Source organism: Homo sapiens, chromosome 7, assembly GCF_000001405.40.
Source record: "Homo sapiens chromosome 7, GRCh38.p14 Primary Assembly".
In the NCBI taxonomy this organism is placed as follows: domain Eukaryota; kingdom Metazoa; phylum Chordata; class Mammalia; order Primates; family Hominidae; genus Homo; species Homo sapiens.
Window position 1 is genome coordinate 107763569 of NC_000007.14, and position 26828 is coordinate 107790396.

The 26828-nt window shown below is 38.7% G+C and overlaps 1 protein-coding gene across 1 annotated transcript in view, besides 2 other annotated features; it reads right to left on the reverse strand.

The window, feature by feature from the left end:
* The window catches only part of SLC26A3 (solute carrier family 26 member 3), a 37755-nt gene continuing 12827 nt past the window's right edge, over window positions 1901-26828 (reverse strand). The window contains exons 6-21 of the mRNA NM_000111.3: window positions 25956-26120; window positions 23789-23941; window positions 23259-23341; window positions 19637-19784; window positions 19412-19525; window positions 19229-19306; window positions 16100-16195; window positions 14607-14713; window positions 13069-13138; window positions 12884-12976; window positions 11209-11304; window positions 10352-10585; window positions 8486-8540; window positions 4198-4340; window positions 4011-4076; window positions 1901-2310 (exon numbers count right to left, since the gene is read on the reverse strand). Coding sequence (NP_000102.1) covers window positions 2287-2310; window positions 4011-4076; window positions 4198-4340; window positions 8486-8540; window positions 10352-10585; window positions 11209-11304; window positions 12884-12976; window positions 13069-13138; window positions 14607-14713; window positions 16100-16195; window positions 19229-19306; window positions 19412-19525; window positions 19637-19784; window positions 23259-23341; window positions 23789-23941; window positions 25956-26120 — 1725 coding nt within the window. The 3' untranslated portion in view covers window positions 1901-2286. The remainder of the gene's footprint in view (window positions 2311-4010; window positions 4077-4197; window positions 4341-8485; window positions 8541-10351; window positions 10586-11208; window positions 11305-12883; window positions 12977-13068; window positions 13139-14606; window positions 14714-16099; window positions 16196-19228; window positions 19307-19411; window positions 19526-19636; window positions 19785-23258; window positions 23342-23788; window positions 23942-25955; window positions 26121-26828) is intronic.
* Window positions 16234-16378: an enhancer, noted in NCBI's record as "145 bp enhancer 278 fragment used in the MPRA reporter construct; PK_construct_3004". NCBI's record gives its function as "activates an SV40 promoter by MPRA in HepG2 cells {active_cell/tissue: HepG2}" and the evidence as "EXISTENCE:reporter gene assay evidence [ECO:0000049][PMID:23512712]".
* Window positions 16295-16318: a transcriptional cis regulatory region, noted in NCBI's record as "GFI1 motif; enhancer activity is reduced when this motif is scrambled". NCBI's record gives its function as "necessary for full MPRA enhancer 278 activity {active_cell/tissue: HepG2}" and the evidence as "EXISTENCE:site-directed mutagenesis evidence [ECO:0005528][PMID:23512712]".

The following is a 26828-nucleotide window of genomic DNA, read 5'->3' on the forward strand; positions in this document are numbered from 1 at the left end:
ATGGAGTTGTCATTAACTGAGGTAGAAAAAATGCTGGTAGAGCAGATTAGGGGAAGATCAGCAGATCAGCCTTGACATGTTGAAATCCAGAGGAAGATGCTAGAAACATGAATTAAATATCCCTCTTTTATATTCTTGTTCATGCAGTGTAGGGTCAGCCATTTAAAAAATTTCATTTACATTTCTAAGTGGTAAGTTCCTGTGTTTAGACAAAAATATGTATCAAGTGCTTAAATAACTTACAAAATAATTTTAAAGATACACTGCTCAACATGTATTACTTTCACACTTTATGAATTTCTGTAATGTATTTGTCTCTTCACAAGTTGTTCTGTCTCCCAGTTGCCTCCTCTCCCCTCCAATCTTGTTCTGGTTTATATACGTTTATTTTTATCTTCCAACATGGTCTCTTGACTTCTTCCTAAATTAGGGATCAGATTTTGGTACTAGGAAATTTCCAATATGTGCTCTGAGGCAGGCAAGTAGAGGCTCAGCCCCATGTATTCCCATTACTAGAAGCATACCCAACCTTAGTGGCCTACAAGAAAGAAAACATTTAAGGATAAGGATAAGTAAACCTCTAAGGTGTTAAGGTTGAATGTACTGTGATGTGGGCACAAGAATTGGAGTGCTTGTGCTTGTTTCTTGAGTTTTTTGTTTTTGTTTGGTTTGGTTTGGTTTGGTTGGCAAGAAGAGTGCAGAGGGCACCTTTGCTTGGGAAGATGGAGACCTCAGCGACAATCCTATATATAAGGCATTTGCCTCAACTTCAAGCCAAATGATTGAGTAAATAGGCTCCTGTTTTCAATTTCGACTTCCTACTCTTTTTAGAGGAGAAGTTCTTAACCCAAGATTTGTGAGGCATTTTATATGTAAATTGTGTGTGTGTGTGTGTGTGTGTGTGTGTGTGTGTGTGTGTGTGTGTGTATTTTTTCCCCCAAAGTCCATAGGGTGTATGAGACTCTATAAGGAGTCCATGACTCAGAAAGTTAAACACTACTATAAAGAGTGCTGTGGCCGGGCACAATGGCTCACACCTGTAATCCCAGCACTTTGGGAGTCCGAGGCAGGAGGATTGCTTGAGGTCAGGAGTTTGAGACAGCATGGGCAACATAGATCGTGTCTCTACAAAAAAATGGGAAGATTAAAGAGTGCTGATATTCTACTTTTAAGATTGGCTGTGTAAATAACCTTTATCTTACCTTTGTGTATGTAGTTTTAAGTCCAATAGACAAACCCTCTCAAAGACACTACCAGAGAGTGGAAAGGTACTTTGACAACAATGTTGAGAGGTAAGATCTAAAACAGTTGGGGCAGCTTTTCCCATTGACAAAGTTGTTTGATGTTTAATAAAGGGCGTTGAATATTTTTCTGTTGGTGCTGATGTTTAATTTCTAACTATTACATAAATACAAATTTGCACCAAGAGCCATGCCAGTGGAAAAAGAGAAGCAGGTGTGCTGAATCTCCTCCAGATAAATTGAGCTCTAGAGCTGTTATTCTGCCCTGTGAGTTACAAATAATAACCAGCAGTGAAAAAAGAAGAGAGTCATACTACTTCCTGCCATCTGTTTTTCTTCTTCCCACTGAGACCCGGAAGAATTGGCTACCCATCTTTTCTTTTCACCTTCCTTGCTTTCTCATTTTTTAGCTTGTATAGTTTTCATACTAAATCTATATAGGTACAGATATTACATTAGAAGGATTGTGTTTAAAATCTGGATAGGAGGTTGGATGCTTTAAAAAACTGGTAATCATAAAATCTGAGCAAAGAAGCCTGATTACAGGGGTTCTGTTAGAAGATTCTCATGTAGCAGGTTTCCAGCCAGACCACTATATAACAGGACCCACAGCAAGCATGTTTCAGAAAGCTAACAAATTTAACAAAACAAGACACATCCACTGTACAACTGATTTTTTAATGGAAATATATTAATATGACCTGTATAAATTATGAGATTCAAAACAGTGGCGCCACTATACTGCTAAACCTATGCATGAAGGTAGTGACTAGGATGGAAATCTGTCAGTGCTACAAAAATATGTATGAACAAAATAATTTTCACCCTTTGATAAAGCTACAAGATATAAAATTTAGAATACTTATATAATTTCATACTAGATATGTGAAAAATATGCCATGCTAGAACCATCTTGTTCCAAAGTTTGAAACATATTCTGTCAAAAATACTCTTCGTACAATGTATGAACTTATCAATAACTTTCTGGGTATAAAGTTGTTTTTATGTCATAGTCAGATGAAGATCCTTCTGAATTATATGTTGATTAGAATTTTGTTTCAACTGGCACCTGGAAGAAGACAGAAAGTTCTTGTTTTAAAATACTCGTCAAGTTCTGTTACAATAATCACATCTTAGGAGCTAGAATTTACCAGAGTTAACAGGTTTTTTTTTTGTCTTGAATTTTAATGATCAAGTACCTTCCATCACTGCTTGTTTAACATAGATCTATGTGATACCACATTGTAATTCAAAGGCCTAACTTAACTTAAAGTAATGGTACAGTGTGTTGTAGCAATATCTTTCTTCACATTTATTCCAAAGGACTATGTGTGTTGGCCTGGTATATTCAGCTGTTACCCCAGTCACCACTGGTGGCCTATCCACAGCTGGTGATTTACCTTCCTTGAGACCAAAGAGCTGGTGTTAAATGTTTCTTTTTTTTAATATGGGGAAGCCAAGTTCCACCACTGTGCTAGCTAGATTTGTTAGACAATTGGTTCTAGTGTTTGGGTCAGACATGAGGTAAATGCTATTCCTACCCTTTATCCTCCAATACTTGGTGACAATTCTGAATACAATTACTGAGGAGAGGGTTTCTGGTGTGAGACTTTTCTTATAAGGTACTCAGGCAAGGTGCCAGTTTTATTGGGTTTCTCTGGAATCTAGTCCTGGGAGACAGAATCATGGTGCTTATGTACATTCGCCTCTTACCTCAGGTCTATCCAATTTTCTAGAATGGCCTTTTCATCTGACCTTTGCTACTTGATACCACTCTTAATAATGTTCCAGATTTATCTTATGCTCTACATTTCTTTTTCATTTTGACTAGAAATTCCTTTTTTGAGACCTTTCAACTAAGAGAAATACCACCAGCTGCCTGCCATGCTTGAAGACAATCATTAAATTCTTTCTCTGGTCCCTCAATCCGTTGTCTTTCACTAGAGGATAGAGATGGTGTACTAGAACAGAAGACAGGTCTTGTCATCAGAAAGATCTTAGTGCAGTCCTGTTGGGGTCACTTGGTATGTGACCTCAAGCAGATTAGTTAAGCTCTCTGAGCCTGTTTCCTTTTTTTTTTTTCATTTGGAAAATGAAGATATCTTCTTTGTATATTGTTATAAGGATTGAGATAATGAATGTAATACACCTGCCATCTACCTGGCCTACAGCAGAAACCCATTTTAATTTGTGATTCTACTTTTCCCAAACTAGAAACATTGCTTTAAAGGACTGAATGTTCTAGAAATGAACATCTACAATGAAATGGGACTCTCCAGTTAAATGCTGAATTGGCAACTCACTCTAGTAAGGAAGGATAGAAACTTGTTTCATTGCTTGACTGGGCACTGTGCTAGGGACTTCTCAAGCATCTGGCTATTGGGAGGTGTGTATTAGCTTATCATTTTCATTGCTAATTCACCTGTAAATGGAAAGAGCAATACCTTCCCTGCTACGTGGATTATTACAGGGCCAGAATAAGAGCATTGTTGTAAGTGGTTTGAAAAACAAAAGAAGATATGCTCAATATTGCATTAATGGAGATCTATTATCACTATTTTTTCATCCTGTTTTTGTACGGGTCTGAGTTTCTTTTCCTGAAAACTCCCTGTGAGATTGGTTAGCATTGCTTCAGTTTTCTAGGGATGAGGCACAGAGGCTCAAGCAAGTGCTGGACTTTCTGCCACATGCAGGAAGTGGCCTCACTACTTTGAAGGTTTTTTTTTGCTGTGATGTCTAGGTGAAGATAAACCTGTTGAAGAATCTTACCTCATATACCCGATTACGTAATCCTCCATTTGTATTTATGGTAAAATCAATTTTTCCATCTTTTTCCTGAGAAAAAGAGAATGGAAATATGGATTAGGGGCTGATTTTTTTTAATGTTGAAAAAGAGAAATTTAAGGAGTGCAGATGGCTGCTTATGCAATTGTGAAAGTCACCAAAGAGCTGATACCTGACTGGGATTAAACTTTGAAGTACTGTAATCTTTCTTCATCAAAATATGCAAAACAGCATCATGGATTGTTAAGAAAAATATTGAGCTTTTCACTTCACCATCAAAAAATTCATACCGGTTAAGCTTCTCAATGAAGTCATCTGAAGAGAAAAAAACAGTAACTTTTAGGAAGAAACAATTGTTTGGCTACCGGTTTCCCCTTGAGGCTAGTAATTTCACCTTCCATTTGCAAATGTGCGTTTCATTGACATTTGGTTAAGTGTGTGTGGGTTGCAGTGGTATAATACCAGTCTATCTTTAGTACAATGTCTTTTGGAACTAACAAATACCTTTCTAATAAAAAAAATTTAATGCCCTAATGTAAAAAGGAGGAAGGCAAAGGAGCAAATGAAAAACAGTAGTTCCTAGAAGAAAATTCATTTAGGCAGGAGCCTAGTGAATTGATCTCCCTGCTTAATGATTAGAGTATCAAGTGTGGCTTCTTATTAAAGTTTGGGATTCTGCCAAAATGGAACATATGTTTATGGACCAGTGATATGCTGTGGTTCTTTATTGTAGCCCATTTTCCCAAAGCTGCTGGGTTTTATGGGAAAACATCTTCCTTACCACTTACCTCTCTAATCATCTTTGAGAAATCCCATTTTTGTAGGCACTAAGCAGCATTCATTTACATAGATGACTCAACCAACTATTACCTTATGTCTGCCATGTGCAAAACTCTGGCTGAGTAATAAGAAAGATCAAAAGATAAATTAGACCTGAATCTTGCCCTCAAGGAAGATAGAACATTTATATATTCCTGTAGTACTGACAGAAAACGTGTGGTATAATAATGAGGGAAAGGAGCAATCTAGTTTTTTTCCTTTATTGTTTTCTTAGTTTTAAAAAAATTCCCAGCACATAGTATGTCTTCATATTTTTTGTTGAATATATGAGAGAGATATAGATCATGTACTATGAAAATTCTGAGAAATTTTCCTCTTGGTGGGTATCTGGGAAAACTTGAGCAGATACCGTCTAAACGTGCCTAGGATTTGCAGAAAAGTGGAGGAAGAGAAGGTACACAGTTATGAAGATGGATTCTTCTGTTTACAGAAAGCTTTCAGTGACAGAGGGAGAGGGAGCGTGGAGGGCATTGTGGCCACCAGGATCTGGGATGGAGTGGGTGGCATGCAATGGGAAGGAAGGTGATAATCTTTGATAAAGACTGAAAAGAATGCCAGGCAGCAGAGACAGCAGGAACAGATACTTTCCAAAATATCTGGGATGATGAGGAAAGGGTAAAATTGTTAGTAAATTAAAGGTTTCTGGGATCAAGGGGATGTTTTTAATTATAAGGAAGCCTTGACAATGGTTGAACTAATTTTCACTCCCACCAACAGTGTATAAGCACAGTGTGGCGATTCCTCACAGGGCTGAAGACAAAAATACCATTTGACCCAGCAATTCCATTACTGGATATATACCCAAAGGAATATAAATCATTCTTTTATAAAGACGCATGCATGCATACATTGATTGCTGCACTATTCACAATAGCAAAGACATGGACTCAAATGCCCATCAGTGATAGACTGGATAAAGAAAATGTGGTACATATACACCGTGGAATACTATATAAAAACATATAAAAAAATTAAAAAAAAACAATATCCTTTGCAGGTACATGGAGTTGGAGGCCATTATCCTTAGCAAAGTAATGCAGGAACAGAAAACCAAATACTGCATATTCTCACTTATAAGTGGGAGCTAAATGATGAGAACGTATGGACACATGGAGGGGAACAACCCACACTGGGGCCTATCGGAGGGTGAAGGGTGGGAGGAAGGAAAGGATCAGGAAAAGTAACTAATGGGTGCTAGGCTTAATATCTGGGTGACAAAATAATCTATACAATAAACCCCCATGACACGAGTTTACCTATGTAACAAACCTGCATGTGTACCCCTGAACTTAAAAGTTTTTTTTAAAAGTCTTGAAACTAGAATATGTCTGTATATTTTAGGGACAGGATCCAGTAGAAAGGGAGAGATTAAGGATGCCAATTTTATACTTTTCGAAGGATATGTGTACCACTTGTCTCCTCTCCCTAAAAAGCTCCCCCTAAGTACTGTCAAGGTTGACTGCCTCACTTCGTTCTAGTCTGTACTCAAAATGTCATATTGCTGGACATCCCTGATCACCAGTTTTTCTTTCTGCCTCCCTCCCTCCCTTCCTTCCTTCCTTTTTTCTCTTTCTTTCTTTCTTTCTTTCTTTCTTTCTTTCTTTCTTTCTTTCTTTCTCTTTTCTTTCTTTTTCTTTCTCTCTTTTTTCTTTCTTTCTTTCTTATTTCGTCTTTCTTCTTTCTTCTTTCTCTTTCTTTCTTTCTCTCTTTCTTTTCTTTCTTTTTTTTTTTTTTTTTTTTTTTTTTTTAAAAAAAAAAAGGGGTTTTTTTTTTTTTTTTTTTTTTTTTTTTTTTTTTTTTTTTTTTTTTTTTTTTTTTTTTTTTTTTTTTTTTTTTGATTTGAGACAGGGTCTTGCTCTGTCACCCAGGCTAGTGTGCAGTGGCACGATCACAGCTTACCGCAGCCTTGACCTCCCAGGCTCAAGCGATCCTTCCATCTCAACCTCCTGAGTAGCTGGGACTACAGGCACATGCCACCACACCCAGCTAACATTTTTTTTTTTTTTTAGAGACGAGGTTTCACCATGTTGCCCAGGCTAGTCTCAAACGCTGGGGCTTAAGTGATCTGCCTGCCTCAGCTTTCTGGAGTGCTAAGATTACAGGCATGAGCCACCGCTCCCAGCCTCTGTTTCTTAACTCTGCTTTTCTCTTAGCACTTATCACTACCTGAAATATGCTTTTGTTTGTTTATTATGTGGCTTTTCTATGAGACTATAAGCTTCATGAGGACAGAGGCTTGTCAGATTCACTGCTATATTCCCAGCACCCAGAACTGTGCCTGATAAATAGTAGGTATTCAATAAGTCTTTACTGAATGCCCATCATGTCCTAGGATCTAGGGAAGAGACAGGAAGAAGGTAAGCAGGAACAATACCTGCCCTGGAAGAGATATAGTCTAGTAGGGACAGAAACTGAACTGCAAAATTATGTGATACGTGCGTACTCTGTAGATACAAACAGTCTGAAGACCCGGTGCTCTGCCTGGGGAAGCAAGGATGTTTTCAGTTATTGTCGGAAAAATTCCTGAAGAAGGCTTCTTTCAGAAAATGGGATGGGAGAGCATTATAGGGATGGGCAAGGATATTAGTTAGAAAGTCCTTCTAGAAGGCCTAGTTGAGAAGTGAGAAGGGTCTAGATTAAAGTTCTGGAAATGGAGAGGAAGAGACTGATTTAAGAGGAAATATTTATAGGACCTGGTCATTGACTAGAGGGAAGGAGAGCAGAAATTGGTGATGGTTTCAGGGTTTCTATCTGGAAAACTAGGTAAGCAGTGATGCAGTGATTGTGATAGGAAAGAAGTATTTTTGGGAGGGGGAATCATATACGTAGTTCTAAAAGCGTGTATCTGAGGTGCCTGGGGACATCCACAGTCGAGTCCATTGGTCTGCAGCTTAGAAGAAAGGCCTGGGCTGGAGGTATAGTTTGGGGATTCATTAACAAGTAGATGCACATGAAATCATAAACATGTAGGAAATTGACTAGAAAGAGTCTGTGGAATTAGAACTATGGTATAGAGTGTACGGTTGAAGCTTGGGGGAGACTGAAAGTGGGAGAAGAACCAATGTCAGACCCTGAGGAGATGTTTGAGAGGTAGGAGGTGAATAAGAACTGTCCTGCCAGAGTCAGGGAGGGAGAGAGTTTCAAAGACAAATGCTAGAGAGAGTGCCAGATGCTCAGGTAAGCTGCTGCAGAAGGACCTGAGATGAAGGCCGTTAATCCTAACAATCTGGACATCGCTGATAACCTTGGCAAGGATGGTCTCATCAGCAGGTGAAGCTCAACCAAATTGTTATGGGCTGGATTGTGCAAGGGAAGGGAGGAAGAGAGACAGAAAACAAGGCTACCTTTTCAGGAAGTTTAGAGTGAAAAATAGTTAACATGTTCCTCCTTTGTTGCCTATGAAATCAGGATTCAAATTGTAGAATGTATTTAATTACATATCAACATAACTAAAATACAAAGATGCTGTTTCCATAGGGATTTTTATTGGGCTGGCTGCATATTAGATTTTCATCATGATTATATAAAATACTCATTCTTTGGAGAGGCTGTCTAGACTGAGAGTTGGCAGTGAGCCTGAAGTGATTGTCAGAACATAAAACAAAAATAAAGCCACTTACCATCAGTTCCAACGATATACACATCTACCTTGATCCTGATAAATTCTTGCAAAATCTGTTAAAAAGAAAAGTATATCTTCCTTAGGGAACAGTTTCACTTGTCAGAAATATAAAGAAAACAATCAGAATTATACCTTACGGGTGATATATTCCTTTTAGAAGCTTTAACATTTTGAAAAGAGATAATAGTGTCAGAAGATACTAAAGTTAAAAACAAGGCTCTGTGACAGAAATAAACCCAAACAAAAGAACCCTTCTCCTCAGTAAGAAGTTAAAAATGATCATTCTTGAAGGAAGTATTATGGGAAAATGTTCTGTCTCAAACTCATAAGAACAACTCTGATTTAATTTTAAAATAGTGTCTTCTTTGGGATGATCTCAACTAGAGCTTTCTTGCTACATAAAAGTTTTAAAAAAGAACCTATGGACCATGAGTTGCTAATTATTTTTGTCCACAATGAATGGATGTATCTAGCACCAATGAATGTTTATACATTTTTCTGGTCTCTAGGCTAAGAACAAATACCAGTAGTGATATGAGTAAGATCATGTAAAGTAAGAAAAGTAGCTTATATTGTTTGATCAGGTTAGATGATCATTAATGTCATTGCCATCATCAGTAAACACTTTCAGAACCTCTTCTAGGCACTTAACTAAGAATTAGAGCCCCTGTCCTTTGTGTTATACTGCTAGAACCAAAAAATAAATGTGTGTGTGTGTGTGAGTGAAAATGCAGAAACAAAAGCTAAAGTAATCAAAAGCTAAAATAAACAAAAACCAAAACCAAAAAAGAAAAGAAAACGCAAGTAGACTTGAGAGTTACATGATGTTAACATTTAAAAAAAATTCTTCCATTTTCTAATTTTGTATCCAGTTCACCCATGCTGAATAGGTCTTATCTTAGGTCAGCTCTCACTTGGGCAGATTTTTTGTGAAAACCCAAGAAAAAGAGAGAAAGATGTAGAATTTCTTAAATTTTCTTTTTATATGTTTCTGCATTTCTGTTAGAAACTAATTTATTTTAGAAATATGATTAATCTGTGGAAAGAAAACACACTGCAATCTGATTGTTTCAGTCGTGTTTTGAAATCACATGTGACATTTATTCTTTCATATATCTATTTGGGTTTTAGCCAAGTGAAATTTCATCAGCTTATAATGGATGAGGATAAAACAAAAGGATCCACTCTTACATTTTTTCCCAGGACCTTTCCAGATCTTCTCTGATTTCAGAATAATTTAGACACAATGCCCACAAAGATTTGAGAACACCACAGAATTGAAATTTGAAAGGAATGTGAGCATAGTTGTCCACCAGCAGATTCAGCATACGTTAGAACTGTAGATTTGATTCCCTTCAATATAGTACCCAGTCTCATGGAAAAATGCCCTTTCAAGAGTCCACTGAACACCACCTTTCCCTCCATGGAATACTCTAAGATTATCATTTGCTTCTAATTAAATGCATGTTACCTAAAGGAGCATCCTTCCACAAATACAGTTTTTTTTGTTGCTGTTTTTGAGACAGAGTCTCACTGTATTGCTGGAGTGCAGTGGTGCAATTTCGGCTCACTGCAATTGCCACCTCCCAGGTTCAAGCTATTCTCCTGCCTCAGCCTCCCGAGTAGCTGGGATTACAGGTGCACGCCACCACACCCAGCTGATTTTTGTATTTTTAGTAGAGACGGGGCTTCGCCATGTTGGCCAGGCTGGTCTCGAAGTCCTGACCTCAGGTGATCCACCCACCTCGGCCTCCCAAAGTGCTGGGATTACAGGCATGAGCCACTGTGCCCAGCCCACAAATACAATTTTTTTTTTAACCTTTAGTCATTGATTGGTTGTTTCCATTAAGAACAAAGAAATTACCGATTTAAGGCCCCTCACTGAAGAAACATCAAGAAAGGACACTGCTGAAAAGTCAAGAATGAGGCTGTGGAGGCTGATTTTGGGGACCTCAATGTTGAGAGGAAGATCATCATTCCAGTCAATGTGGAAAGGCAGGTCTGTGGTATTGATTGGCTGGTCCAGTACTTCTATCTGATTGTTGTCCAGCTCTTCGTCAGAATCTTTTATGGTGTCAACAGTACATATAAATCCTTTCTGCAGGAGAGGATAACAAGTATGAAAACTGTGACCAAGAAAAACATTGTGTATGTCAGAGATAGCCAGTGAGTTTCAGAAGCACTGATTCTGAGTTGAGCCAAACGATGGGATTGGACTAGGTGTGGTGGCTCATGCCTGTCATCCCAGCACTTTAGGAAACTGAGGTGGGAGGATCACTTGAGCCCAGGAGTTTGAGACCAGCCAGGGCAACATGGTAAGACTCCATCTCTGCAAAAAATAAAAAAGTTAGCCAGGCATGGTGGCACATGTGCTTGTAGTTTCAGCTACTTGGGAGGCTGAGGTGGGAGGGTCGCTTGAGTCTGGGAGGTCAAGGCTGCAATGAGCTGTGATCGCACCACTGCGCTCCAGCCTAGGCCACAGAGCAAGACACTGTCTCAAACAACAACAAGATTGTGGACAATTGTGTTTGGTACTTTTCCCAGGAGAATAAAAATTTTAGGGAGACCCTCAGAAGGATGTCATTTTAAAATATAACACTCATTGACACATGAAATCCCTTGTTTATCTGGCATTTCATTTAAAGGAATGGAACTACACCTTGAATCATCCTTTACTAAGCTTTTAGCTATAATGCATAGAAATGTGGTCAAGGAACTTACTGGTGTCACTTGTAGCAAGCCTTGCTTCTGCAGTTTTCGGATTTTCCTCAAAGCTTTGTTGCGCTTGCGTAGAATTCGAAGTGGACTAAAGCCAACCTGAGAAACCCATTGCTGTGTTACAAGAGTACTGAATATTCTGTTATTTATATAGCATAGTTCTAACAACTTTAACTGGAGTGATTTGAGGGATTGGGACAGATAATAAAAATATTTGTGACAAAATTTAAAAGTGGTTTAAACAATATCAGCCAGAACATTGGGTCAGACCCATGGTCTGCTCCACCTGTATGCAGTTATCAACAGTCAAAAGCTTTTGTATAACACAGTCCAGGATTCATCCATAAATTATCCATGAATGGACATAAACTCTATTTGAATCTGTTTGTGTTTGGAACCTACACAACTCTTAGGGAATTTTATTTTACTTATTTTCTATTTATTGAGTACGAGTTGCACCTACATAAGTATTCTGCTTGTATGTAATTTTTATCTTATTAAAATTTATAATGGTATGTTATTTATTATTGTACAATTTTATTTTATAATTTTAGTATTATATTTGAGGCTAATCTTTGTTTTTTTCAACACTAATGAATTCTTATTGCTGTAATATTTAGTTACAGATAAGTAAGAGAGGAGGATCAAATTATGTAATAAAAAATCCTTGGCCAGGCGTGGTGGCTGAAGCCTCTAATCCTAGCACTTTGGGAGGCCGAGGTGGGAGGATTGCGTGAGGCCACGAGTTCAAGGCCAGCCTGGGCAACAAAGCAAGCCCTCGTCTCTACAAAAGATTTAAAACTTAGCACTTAGCGGGGTGTAGTGGCACATGCCTGGAGTCTCATCTACTTGGGGGGCTGAGGTAGGGGGATTGCTCAAACCCAGGAGTTTGAGGTTGCAGTGAGCTGTGATCATGCCAGCCTGGGTGACAAAGCGAGACCTTGTCTCAAAAAAAAAAATCCTTGACAAAAAATATAGTTAGATGGAAGTTTACTAGAGTAATCGAAAAGGGCAGTACAGAAAACCAAATATACAATATAATCTCATTTTGCAAACAACAACAAAAAACTCGGTAGAAAAATGTCGGATGCATATCAAACTAATAATAATAGTTAAGGTTTAAGGCAGAGGCTGTATGCAAGGTACAGAGTAGACCAAAGGCATGTTTCAAGAGGGAGGACTGAGCTTTTTTTCTTAACTGTCAAGACTGCTTCCTTGTCATCATCTCTCCAGTTTGCCAGGGACACTCAGTATGTATTGTTATTCAGTATTAACTATTCATTTACAACTGTTATACTGAATCTCTTTGAGGATGTGGTCAAATATTAAATGCTCCTTCATTGTTTCTGAAGTTGATGCCCAAAGAAAATCTGTAGGATGACATCTACTAAAAGCTAGCAGCCCAAAACTTGGTAAATTTCTTTTACTCTACATCAGAATTTGAGAAAAGGATTCTTCTATATTAGATGTCATCTGAAGAGGCTTATTTCCCAACCTATTAACAAACTCCCCATAAGGTAGTTTCATCTGTTCTGGGACGTGGGACAAAAAATACTGACACAACCCCACCTCAACATATGTGACACAACCCAGTCTCAACAATGACCTTACAGAACAATGACATTCCCAGAATTCAGTAAGATTACAAGGAAAAAAATTAAATAACCCCAAACCTTACAGCATCGATAAGTTTCCGCCTAAAGAAACCAATGTTTGCAAAGTAGATAGGAGATGGACATCTGAAAATTTTCACTCCTTCTGGCTCATACATCTGTAAGGCAGAGAAGCATTGTTAGGTGTTGCCCATTAGATCCATAGTTAATATCATTTAGCAAGTCAAAGAAAAACATGAATCTCCCTTACATCATAATAATCTTTTTTATTCTTATAGATGTTGGTTCTTCCAATATTAGCCAGCGTGCTGCATTTTGGACTGTAGGGAGAAAAACACCAAGTAAATCATTCATGTATGTTTGTTAAGCCTATAAGGCTAACACTGACTTTTTCCAGCATACCAAAGCAGGCTCACTTTTCAAAATGTAAAAGGTTGGGGAATCATCATGCCATCAGAGACTCTGGAAGGTGAACACCTTGTTTTACTTATCTTTGTGTCCTCTCACAGCACCTGAAAAGTGCCTCCCATTTGTCATGTTACAGTTTACAAAGCACTCCATATGCTTTTGCCATTTTGATTGTGAATATCACAGTTATTCCATGAGGTAAGGTGGATATGATTACCCAGTTGTATGGATGAGAACATGGAAAAGTAAAATGACTTGCTTATGACCATTCAGTTTGTCTCTATGTTTGATGGGTTCCCAGTAAAAAATGGAATGAAATATAAATAAATGAAAGAGTTCGGGAGTATTTCAATATGGATGTATTCCATCAGTCAGGGATTGACTTTGTGATAACAATTTCTGTTGTAGAACTCCTTAGTTCCCCAGGAAGCATCTTTTTCTGTCACACCATGTAATTCAAAATAGGCTGAGCAACCACATGGTAGTGATGTTACATGGCAGAGATTTTAAAAAATCAAGGCTGGTCGCCATGGCTCATGACTGTAATCCCAGCACTTTGGCAGGCTAAGTCGGGCGGATCACCCAAAGTCAGGAATTCACGAACCAGCCTGGCCAACACGGTGAAACCCTGTCTCTAGTAAAAATACAAAAATTAGCCAGTGGCAGGCACCTATAGTCCCAGCTACTTGGGAGGCTGAGGTAGAAGAATCGCTTGAACCCAGGAGGCAGAGGTTGCAGTGAGCCGAGATTACACCGTTGCACTCCGGCCTGGGCGACAAGAGCGAAACTCTGTCTCAAAAGACAATAAATAAATAAATAAATAAAAATTAAAAAGATGCTTGGACTGAATGATTATTAAAAATCAAGAATTCCAAATGGCTTTTGTGGAATTTTAAGGTAAGAGGGGCCTTTGAGAAGTTCTCTAATCCAGCTCCATATTTTAAAGGTACGAGGGCAATCTAACAACCTATAAAGAGGAAATCCATCCACTAGATGGAAACAATCTCACAATCTCAGTAACACATTTCCATGTTTAACAAGTACAAGGCAAAGACATTAAACCTGCTTGGAATAGAATTACTTCTGGTTTATAGCTGGGCGAATAGACTCAGAGATTTATATGATTTATTTGAACTGGAGTCAAAGCCAGAAGCAGACCAACAGCAAGTCTCCTCCCTGGGCTGATGTTCTAAAGCTGGGCCGTGCTATTGCCCTTCAGGCCTTGAGATGAGCAACTGGAGGGAGGATAAACTGCCCCATCCTGATAGAAATGCACACCTATCAACCAACTACTGTTCTTTTAGCCAGTGACATTTTTTTTCCTCTTCTGATTTGGGCAGGTCCAAGCCTGCCAGGATGCAGAGCACTTTGAGCACTCACAATTGGGTCCTGAACACGATGGTTAGCAGTTGAAATGCCACACTAGCTGCCAGGCCTAACCCGAGTCCCAGGACAATGGTGAAGATGAAGGTCATGATCCAAATTAACTGTGAAAAGAAAGCAACACATACACTACAATTTACTTTGATTAAAGTACAATGTCGAGACGGGGTCTTTTAAAAAGACTTTTTTTTTTTTTTTTTGTAGCGACAGTGAGACCTTGTCCCTATAAAAAAAATTTAAAAATTTGCCAGACGTGGTGGAAGTTGAAAGTTGTCATCTTGGGCCAGGGAGCAAAGTGCACAGAAGACACTTTTCCCAAGAGGTCATTTCTGCTGGCTCAGGTTCTGGGCCACAAAAACACACACAAATATAAGAGGATTCAAAGAAAGTGTATTTATTTCTAATCCCATCTCCAACTCATTTAGGAAATGGAATTATCTGTCACAGTGATAATTATAATTGCAAAAACTGCAATTACTTTTGCACCAACCTAATAGAACCAGCTGCTGTTCATTAAAATCAGCAAATTAGACTGGGCGTGAAGGCTCACACCTGTAATGTCAGCACTTTGGGAGGCTGAGGTGGGAGGATCACTTGAGGCCAGGAGTTCAAGACTAGCCTGGGCAACATAGTGAGAATCTGCTTCTACAAAAAATAAAAAAAAATAGCTGAGGATGGTGGTGTGCAGCTGTAGTCATAGCTACTCAGGAGGCTGGGGCAGAGGGATTGCCTGAGCCCAGGAGTTTGAGGTTATAGTGAGCTAGGATGGCACCATTGCACTCCAGCCTGGGTGACAGAGGGAGATCCTATCTCTTAAAAAAAAATCAGCAAATTAACTGGTAGAGCTTATACTAATGTTTTACTCTTGGTCTGTTGATTTAATTAATGGTTGCTATCTTTATAAGAATTTTAGCATGCCAAAAGGGTGTTAAAACGCCCCACAAAAGTAAACCAAGTGTAGTTTACTAGTTATGATCTTTAAATACCTAAGGGTATGTTAACAGGCATTTTTACACCACAGACTTTGACCCTGTTAAAATAGCAAAGCATGTGAGAGCAAGGGGGAGCCTTTCCAAATGAGAGTATTTCCAAAAGCAATGTTCAGAAATTAAGTTCTTCACAGATTCGTGGAAACAAAAACATTATGTAATGAAGAACAGAAGCCATGCGTACCCTAAATTCAGAGAGTTTCTGTGGTACTTGGGATTACTGCAAGAACTTTTAGAATAGGCCTAAGGAAGTTCTAGACTAGTGTTTCATGGAGCCCATTCTTTTAAATTAAAAGTAGCCATTTAAAAAAATTAAAGTCCCAGAAAATGACCATTAGAATATGCAATTTAAAAATAGCAAATAAAACAAACTAAGGTTTTTTTGAACAGATATATAGAAACAAAATTTCACTTAGTTTACAATATAAACATGCATTTCACATTAGCATTAAAATGCTATTGTGATTTATCTCTCTTTCAAATACTATTGCCTCTACTTACACAATCATATTTGTCCTTTCGCCACAATCTGCCTATTTCAGCAAACTGCATCAGCATTCCCTTTAAGTTTCCCAATGCTAAAGCTGCCAGGACGGACTGTGAAAAACACAAACATCAGATGTACTTTAAGTTAATGAAATAAACCACAGGGAAGCAAAGGTGAAGGCTATAGATAAGTGTGTGCTTTAAAGGGCCTCAAAGCAAATCAAAGCATTACACCCTTTTCCGGTGTGCGATGCCACGCAAGACACACCAGAACTGGGACTCTGACCTGTTCCTATGAATGACTTTGTCCCCACAACAGTGACAAGGCCTAGGCTGCTCTTGTGATTATGAGATAGATGATCTGATGGCGTTTAGTAGCCTGCACCTTGGGACAGAGAAAGGCAGACCTTCAGACCTATGACAGACTAACATTTGGAATAAATTCCTCCCAAGCAGAGACAGTCTAATGTGTGTTTGTTTATTGGAGTCAAGGAGATGGGGGTTGCTCTTTGTTAAAAAAAAAAATAGCTTGGGAAGCTTGAGGTCCTGGAATGAGATGACTTGAGGCGGGCTTTCTGGGACAGCATGAAACATATCTATCTAGTTCCTGCTATATCCCCAGAACCTACTATGTTAAATGCATACAGGAGGGGCTTTAAAATTAGTCAGTGAATGAGTGGCTGAGCCAATGAATGAATATTTCCCAGGCCAGTACTAATCCCTACAGCCAAGCTTCAGACTTCCAATTCTTCCACAGCCAGAATGTGATCTTTTATCTTGCAGGAATTGTGATAGTTAAGGTGAAAAATGCTGAATAGCTAAGTATATTCTCTTCATTCTTTGGATTTTATCGTAATTGTAGGAACATGCCCCTCACCGTCCTGTTCCCCCTGCCAATTTATTTTATTCTGAATGGAGTATGGAATTTGTATACTGCTATACCATGAAAACACAGTGTACAAAGAAAAGCCAAATACAGTTTTTATTTTTATATCTTGAGGACAGTTGAACTGATCTGCCTATTTCTAATTTTCACAGGTAATCCTTATAATATAATATCTAAGCAATTAATTTTACTAACTGTGAGAATAGAGGTCACAGTTTAGAAGAAATATGGTCTTAAGTGACTTTTAAAAAATTTGGCACACAAGTGAATGCCAGTTAAAAAATGGTGAAAATTGAATAAAGTCTGTAATCTACTTAACATACTATACTAATGTATAGTACTGATATTGTACTACAGCTGTGTAAGATGTCACCATTGTGGTAGCTAGGCAAAGAAGTCAGAGGACTGTACAACGGGCCTCTCCATTTTGCAGGACTTTTAATTCTCTAAGTATAAAATATGTCAAGAGACACCTGTGCGAAGAGACTTTTTTTTTCCATTGGGCATTATTTCCCACCTAGTCAGTATTCTACGGAAAAACAATTTGAAGTAATTTACGATGACATACATATACAACAGATTACTTTTAAAGTAAAGATTACAGAGCATTAAGAAATCATAGAAAGGAAAGGGGGATAATTTCCGCAGTAATCTGGTATCCATACTGCATTTGATATAAAGGATTAAATGAAGAGAAAACGCTTAGAGCTCTGCTGACATGCAGTGAGCACTCAATAAATACCTATTATGAGCTTTTATTATGGGTTATTTTGCCTTCATATGATAAAAAGAAGCAAATAGTTATTTGGGTGTTTGAAACAAAGACATTCCTGACCACAATGGCCTAAAAAGAACATATCACAGGACCCTTTATAAAAGGGGCTTTGATTAAATCTTGGACAAGATTTGGTAATTATTTCTTTAGTGTCTCCAAATTGATGTGGGCTAGGTAGAACTCAAGTTTACACCCGGGGAGAAGCATGAGAGGGTGGAGTTCTCTCTGTAGGGGTGAGTGTGTGTGCGTTTATTTTTATTGAGATAACATTCTTCTATTTCTTTAGTGGTGACTTTTTCATTCCTTTTATGCCACTTATTTTGAAATCAGAAGTATAGCCTATGGAGAATGCATATTTTTGGCAAATTGTTCTCTGCCCTGCTTGAAGATGGATTTGGCCATTGAGCTTTTTGAGATGACCACACTGGGAGTCCAGCAACCTGGGACCACAGTCACCGTTCGGCTACCAACCAACAAGGAAAAAAGGCCTAGGTAACAGCCAATAGACATTTGTGGGCTGTATCATATCTCTATGTCTTTTATAGCCAGGAGTGTAATACAATGTAGAATAATAATATTATTAACAATAATGACTATCATTTATCAAGTATTTATCATATGCCAAACCCTCAGCTAAGTAGTTCACATACATGATCTTATTTATTTTTATAGTCACTCTGTGTAGTGGGTATTATTTCCCTTTCTATTTTACAAATGTGGCGCTTGAGGTTCAGCAAGGTTAAGTAATTTGCCCAAAATCACACAGATAATAAGTAGCAGAGCCAGGATTAGAAGGAGGTCAACAGGGCTCCATGTACCACCTCAAAATTATATTAAAACCACAAGGAACAATGTATTTACTGTCATCTTGTTTCCTAGAGAGCCTTTGCTTTCCAGGGTCTGATGGTATGTTTTATATCTGAGTGCTGCAGCAGTTTACAAAGTATTAAACTAAACCCTCAAGCTTATAGGCAGAGGAGCATGAGAGTAGGGCTGGGAGGTCTGTGCTGGCTGTTCACTCCCATCCCACAATCCAACAGTGTTGGTCTTGGAGTTAAACCAAAGTTCTAGAAGCTTCAGGGTGTGTTCCTAAGAACGAGTTGTGTGGCTGGTAGGGCCATTCTCTGAATTAGATAGAGGGCCTGATTACCTTAACCTTTAAGAAAACCTCTACTCAGTCCATGCGTGTTGAAAGTGTGGTGCCAGGGTGCCCTCCTATTTCAACATTAATTCTATTTGGGGCTATGCACATGCAAAGTGTAGAGGAGATAAGGCAGGTTGGGCACCTGTGTTCCTAACATTCAGAACATGTTGCCAGGGAAAAAGAAATATTTTTGGCTCATACAGAGTATTGGCTAAGAAGAGTACTTGAGAGTTTGTCATTACCTCATTTCCCCTAGTTTAGTTTGTGCTTTCAGAATTTAAGAACCGGGGTCCTTGATTTACCACTAAAAGTAGAGATGCTATCCAAAGACAGTGTTACCTTTTGTAGAGGCGCCAGGAGAAATCCAATGGCTAGAACGACAATCAGCACGATGATGGCACCAATAAGCCCAGCAATCTGTGAGGATAAAAAAATTATCATCACCAACTCAACTTTTCCCCTGGCTTGAATTTCCTAGTTACTAACGCTAGGACAGTGCTTGCAGCAAAGATCTTGACATACCTGTGTTTTGCCTCCTGTGCTCTCCTGAACTGCTGATCTGGAGAGGGCAGTACTCCCAGCAAATCCTCTGAATACTCCACAGACTATGTTACCCAGTCCCAAGGCTATTAACTCCTGACAGGAAGACAAGAATGAACCTTTTTCAGAAGTGGCACCATTGATATTATGTGTGCAAAATATTATTTAAAGTTGCCCAGTGAGACCCAGTGTAGTTTGTTTACTTACCTGATTGCCATCAAGTGGATAATCGTATTTGAGGGAATAGACGCTGGCAACTGAAAAGGCCACTGCAAATGCAACCATTGCGATGCCGAAGCAATCTCCTACGGTGTTTTGGAAAGTCTCCACGTCAGGTGTAATAGGGGGCTGAAATCTAAAATTGAAATTAAGCAAGTCTGAATGTCACCAACCAATTTATAAACTGATATAACCATTGGGCAAATCAATGAATGAATGCAATCTAGGCTGAGTTGTGTCTCACTTTGGAGTATGATTAACGAGAATTTAGCTCCACTAACAATTTTGCAATCTGCTTTCTTAATGCTGAAAAGCAACACTGCCTGAATTTGGTAAAAGACTGCAAATTCAATCCAAGGATAGTGGTAAATCAGATATGATTTTGCCAGTAAAACCACACTATAATGTGCGTGTGTATTCTTATAAGCTTCCTGCAAAATGTCTTCTATTCCACTTGTATTGTTACACTGGGCTGCAAAGCATCACTCAAAATGCTCCCAATAGTTATCCATACATGAAGTCCTTTGAGCAAACACAATTGTGAGACAAGGAAAGCAAAAAAGTCTTCTTTCCATTGATAATAATAACCTTTCATGGAAAACTCCTGGCAAAGAGATGGGCCTTGGACTCTGCCCTGCACTTCACAGAAATGCTAGAGACAACCATGACCCTAATGGAGAGTGGATTTCTCTTTAAGGTGATATATGTCAGAGAAACCTTCAACTCACAGGGCGTACTTCTGTGCTTAAGCCTCATGAATGTAGACCAGTTCAATTATATTTACTAATTGTATCATAAAAGGTGCATGTATCTTAAACTCAACATCAATTTACTAAAATGTTCCACTCCTATAAGCATATATTTCTGACATCAGACTTATTGGAAGTGGGTTAATTAGGTCCAATCAACTCTTTCTGAATTGCTGTTCCACATTTTGTGAATATCTATGGTAATACATTTTTATCTCTAATTTTGAAGAAGTACTATTATACCATAATTTTGAAGAAGTACTATTATATCTGATGCCATTATAAATCCAAAAGTTAGCTTGGAATGTTTTTGTTTTTTAATAACCAGGATCTTATTATTCTTTTGTTCTGGTCTCTGAACACCATAGACAGAATGATGTGATGAAGATTTACAGTCTAAAGACTTGGGTTCATTTCCTGGCTCTGCCACTTGCCCTTCCCAAGTCACAATTTCCTCATTTGTAGAGTGAGGATAATAAAACTTGTTCTCTGTTTTTTTGAGATGGGGTCTCCTCTTTCCCAGGCTGGAGTGCACAGCTCACTGCAACCTCCACTGTCCAGGCTCAAGAGATCTCCCCACCTCAGCCTCCCAAGTAGCTGGGACTACAGGTGTGTGCCACCACGCCCAGCTAATTTTAGTATTTTTAGTAGAGACAGGGTTTTGCCATGTTGGCCAGGATGGTCTCGAACTCCTGACCACAAGTGATTCACCCGCCTCGACCTCCCAACGTGCTGAGATTACAGACGTGAGCCATGGCGCCCGTCCTTGTTCTCTTTTCTTCACAGTTTAGTGGGAGGGTCAAATAATAAATGCAAATACTATTTACACACTGTAAAACACAAAGTGCCTGTTAGCTATTATTATAGGATCCCTCTGGAATCTGAATATACTCCTTGTGTTTCCTTTACTGTTTCAATGAGCACTTTTCTTCAGCCAAATTATTTGTATTTAGTGTATGAGACTTTGCAAAATAACTACTAAGGTGGCATAGTCATGAACAGTAGGTTAGCAATAATTAATAATCACTACCTTCCAGTTATAGTCTATTTGCAATCAACAAAAACTTAAAATACCTACTCAATCATCACCCAGAAAAAAAAATGGAGCATAAAAAGCTCAAGTGCTTGCTACCTAATTTAGGTGTTAAACTAGTTAACAATAGTAGTGTAATTTGAACATTTATTGTAAGTCAGGCACTTAAGCATGTTACATGTATTAACTCACTCAACTCTTAAAAGAATCCTACTTGATAGCTATTATTTTTAGCCTCATATTTACAGCCAAGAACATTGAGGCACAGAGTTTTTGGTAATGTGCTCAAGCTCAAAAAGTGAGTCAGAATCAAATCTCAGGTACTCTGCCTCTAGAACACTGGAGCTTACCTACTAGGTTACACTGCCACTCTATTGAACGTAATGGTTACCCGTTGCCACACCCTACACACTGTGGAGAGAGGTACACTGACATTGAAAATACATTCACTAAATAAGACTGTTGTTGAGGTATTTAAGGTGTAACTCAGTGATCTTAAGTTTATCTTTTATTTTCCAAGCCCTTCTGACAAGATCCTGTTTGGTTTTGCAAGTATTCATTTTTTCTATTTGGTTTATGTCTCCCAAGACATTTAAGTAAAGTGAAATCACTTCAAAGTGGCAGAATAGAAGGAAACCCTAGAAACAGTCTTTCAGTTTCAGCCTAATTTCCACTTTAAAACTTTAAAAATTAAAAGTGATGCTTGAGATTCGTGAAATGTAACACACGAAGATCTGGTAATAAAAAAAATGTTTTTTCTTTAAAAAAATAAAAAGTACATATATTTGCCTTTAAAAGAATTTGGCTGTTTTAAAGTAAAAAAAATACATATAAATGCTGATTTCTCGAATTCTCAAATATTTCTTAAGCATAGAGAGGGAGAGAAGTCTTTTAAAAAAACAAAACAAAACAAAACAAAACAGGAAAACACCTTTTCCTTGGTAAGTTGGAAGAAACTGATTCTGTGGTTAGAAGAAACAACACAAAATGATCTTCCTTCTCAATCCACTGAATGTAATGAAATACATTTTAAAATTCTTGTACAAACTGGACTTCTCATCCTTTTGCAGTGGGAAAAGTTGCTCTGCCCTTGTTTTGAATCTGATCGGGAGAAAGGACAGAGTGTGCCTATCTGGACTGCTCACGTGGAGTGCCTGTGTTCCTTCAGTGTCTTCTTTGAACTTTCAGAACTTGGCTCCAGTAACTTCAAACAAAGCATTACATATTGTTTATAGTAATTTATGGACAAGGAAATCTGGTTTCACTTGATGTTTCTTTAAGAGGAGAAGCAGTTTACTTTGCCTATTTTTCTTTATGGTATTATTTATATATTTTTAAAAAAACAAGAGATGGGGGTCTTGCTGTGTTGCCCAGACTGGTCTTGAACTCCCGGGCTCAAGTGATCCTCTCACCTTGGCCTCTCAAATTGCTGGGATTTCAGGCATGAGCCACCGGGTCTGGCCTTACTTTGCTTATTTTTAGACTTTCACTACTTTGCTAACTTTTACTTTCCTGTGAGTTTCTACTGGTCTGTGTCCCTGCTTGTCTTGTTTGTGAGTTCTTCCACAAGGAGAAGCCTTCTGATATTAAGAACTGCATTCACTGTGGGGAGGCGAAAAAAAAAAAAAAAGAACTGCACACCCTGCCTTTCTTTGTAGCACCTTCCTAGAAGGAAAGCAGTGAGCCTTCCTTAGGGATGCAGGGTGCAGGGAGGATTCTGATGAGGGTTACCTGCAGGCTGAACTGCAGTTCGGATTGTACCTCTCCTGTCACTACTGCTAACTCTCTGCTTAGTGCATGGTGATGCCATCATCGAAGACACACTTACCCAGGATTCATGTCCCCAACCACAGCCACTTTAAACCTGTTTTTAAAGTCACAGCCGTAGGATACACCTGCTGCAATCACGGTCTGCAAAGTTGCAAATGGCCCAAGTTAGAAATGTGAGATGCAAGTAAGAGTCTTGCTTTGAAGAAAAATAAATTGCCAAAACCCACTTCTGTACCTGTTAAGTAAGAACTCCAGCCCAGGCTTTGTTACTTTTTAAGAAATTCGGAGGCAATTCTAACATGCCGCCAGGATTGAGAACCACAGCTAAATTCAAATGGCTCTAACACGACATTTTGTCAAGGGTCTTGCTCTCTGCACTATCCTTGTCTCACGTGGAAAAAATTAACTCAAAATCATAAGAGGAAGTTATTAAATTCTGAATGAAAATAAAACCATGCTAAACATTATGCCCGAAAACTGCAGAGATGGCCTCTGCCCCACTAAAACTTCCTGAGCTACAAATGGTGAAGGACTTACAACATATAAACAGTAGAGTAGCTATGACAGAGTCTGAAAATGATCAATTACCATAATGAATTCGATTGGAATGGGCACTGGAAGTTTGTCTTTGAAGCGCTGATTTATTTCTTTAACAATGGATACAACCAAAAGGACAATCAGAGCTGTCACCAGGTCTGCAATATTAGTCTTCTCTATTTGTGAGAATACAGAGTATAGTACCTACAATTATAAAAACAAAAACCACCAAAGCCCTATATTAATGCACAATTTGGATACAACGCATCTCCAAACAAATAAAAATAAACATGGAAGCAAAAAGACTGATAGAGACTGATAGTGATTTCCTGTATTGCCCCGGTTTAATTGTGAATGTGAAATTGTAGAGAGTAGCGATGGAGATATGAGAAGAGTAAGTTAGCATAGTGTAGGTGGCACACTAGTTTAAGAATGCTTCTGGCATTTTTGCTGGGAATCTCTTTGGCTAGTGTCAAATTTTGTTGGATACTTTTCACATTTTTACCACTGGTCTTCTGCCCTTATTAGGTCTCTTTGGTCGTCATTTTTTATTTCACAGCCATCACTACTCTGTCCAGGGAATAACTTCTGATCTTTGATAGTTTTGCTTAGTATGCTCAATTCCTGGCCCTCTTGGGGGGTTTACACCCCCTCATATTTCTTAGCTGACTCTCTATGTCACTTTTGGAAAATAGTTTTCTGGCTAACTGTGCACTATGCATGTGCACATACTTCTTGAAGCTAGTTGGGTTCCATATCCACTTACCCCAAAAAGCTCAAGCAGGCCAAAACTGGATCCCAAATTGCTTCTAGAACACTCCACTTTTGGAATACCTCTGGATGAAAGAGAGTGTTGGTTCCAATTTGGAGCAAGTTCTGTCTCAACTCCCAAAAACTTTTGGGAGTCGTTAAAAATCAAACACATCTACCATCGAGCTAATGTTAACAACAAAAATTAAGTAACACTTCTCCTATATTTGACTCAAGTATTTTCAAAAAAATAATCTATGTTATTAAAAGCTTTACCATTTTGTCCCAAGTTTTAAAACTAAGAACACTATCTGTTCTACTTTGCATCCTCTGGAGGAGGGGAGAACTGCTGCCCTATCTACATAGTGGTAAATGTTCTTTTGTTTTCTAAACAGGATGCAAAAAGACCCAAGAACTTCAATTCTAAAAGAATGAGACATGCTTTTCAAGAAACAGGAAAACATCATAACTCAATTAGCAAATTTCTTTCAAAATAAGATTTTAAGAAACAGTTTAAAACTTGGGACAAAATGGTAAAGCTTTTAAAACATAGACTTTTTTTTTCCTTTTGGAAAGTACTTGAGTCAAATCTAAGAGAAGTGTTACTTAATTTTGTTGTTAACATTAGCTGTATGGTAGATGTGGTTGATTTTCAGTATTGTTCCCTTGCTACTTTTTCTTTTCTTTCGTTTCCTTTTTTCTTTTCTTTTCTTTTTCTTTTTTCTTTTCTTTTTTTTTTTTTTTTTGAGACTATGTCTCGCTCTGTTGCCCAGGCTGGAGTGCAGTGATGCAATCATAGCTCACTGCTGCCTCTAACTCTCTGGCTCAAGAGATCCTCTGCCTCAGCCTTCCAAAAAGCTGGGACTGCAGACATGCACCACCATGCCCGGCTAATTATTTTATTTTTTGTAAAGGTGAGGTTTCACTTTGTTGCCCAGGCTGGTCTTGAACTCCTGGGTTCAGGTGTCAAGTGATCCTCCTACCTCAGGCTCCCAAAGTGCTGGGATTACAGGTATGAGCCATCATGCCTGGCTTTACTTTCTTTTTCTTTTCTTTTCTTTTTCTTTTTTTTTTTTTTGAGACAAGAGTCTCACTGTGTTGCCCAGGCTGGAGTGCAGTGGCGTGATCTCAACTCACTGCAAGATCCGCCTCCTGGGTTCACACCATTCTCCTGCCTCAGCCTCTGGAGTAGCTGGGACTACAGGTGCCTGCCACCATGCCCGGCTATTTTTTTTTTTTAATTTTTAGTAGAGACGGGGTTTCACTGTGTTAGCCAGGATGGTCTCGATCTCCTGATCTCGTGATCCGCCCGCCTCGGCCTCCCAAAGTGCTGCTTTCTTTTTTAATATGAAAAAATTTTACAAACTGTAGGTAAACCCCATGGCAAAGGCATTAAAGGAAAGCTCTCTAAAAACACAGTAGTGAGTTTCATGTATTTCAGTATTTTTTAGGTGAAAGAAATACTTACTTTGAAAATTGAAACTGGATCAGTGTGTGACGGGACTGTCAACTGAAAAATGAATTTGAGTTGGGAAACCAAAACATGAACAGCAGCAGCAGTAGTGAAGCCACTGATGAGGGACTCAGACAGGTATATCACTACAAATCCAATCCGCAGAATCCCAAAAGCCAACTGGAAAGAGAACAAAAGCCTTTGTCAGCATAGATTAGGAGTATACCTCAGCAAACTCAAGGATCCGCAACTGAAATAATATTACACAAAACGTAAAGGCTCAACCTGTATGTACATGCCTTGAAGAAGCAAATGTCCCTGCCTCCTGGGACGCCTCCCACCCAGGGCTCCTCTCTCTCCTTCCCTTCCACCGCATCATCCAGGTGGAACGTCACATGGTATTCACATAGGATATAAGTCTAGTTTGCCCCCAAGAAGTAACAGGCTTATTTGCACTTAATTTATTTTTAAGTGTGCTGTCTTTGGAAGACTCATAGGCCTTTTCTAGTAGAATCTTACCTAGCATCAGCCCTCATAAATTTGCTGATGTAATTTTAAGTTATACTTTCTAGCTGCTGGAGCACGCATGAGCGAGTGTCTATCCTATTTCCTCAAAGTTGCTCAACTTGCTTAAGAAATACATAACTGCATATTGGACATCAGAAGTGCTTGGTTCTAGCTGGGGGAAAAGGATGGTTAATTCCCCCCTAAAGCATCATTGTTTTGCAATCGAGTGAATCGGATGGATTCTCCTTCCCTTGGATACTTGGCCTGTCTTTCTGCTCACATCTCCAGAACGCAGCCAGAGCTGTGGCTGCCCAAAGCCCAGTTGGGTTCCATTTCTATACTAAGTTCAGAAATGTATTAGAAATAACTAACCAAATTGTC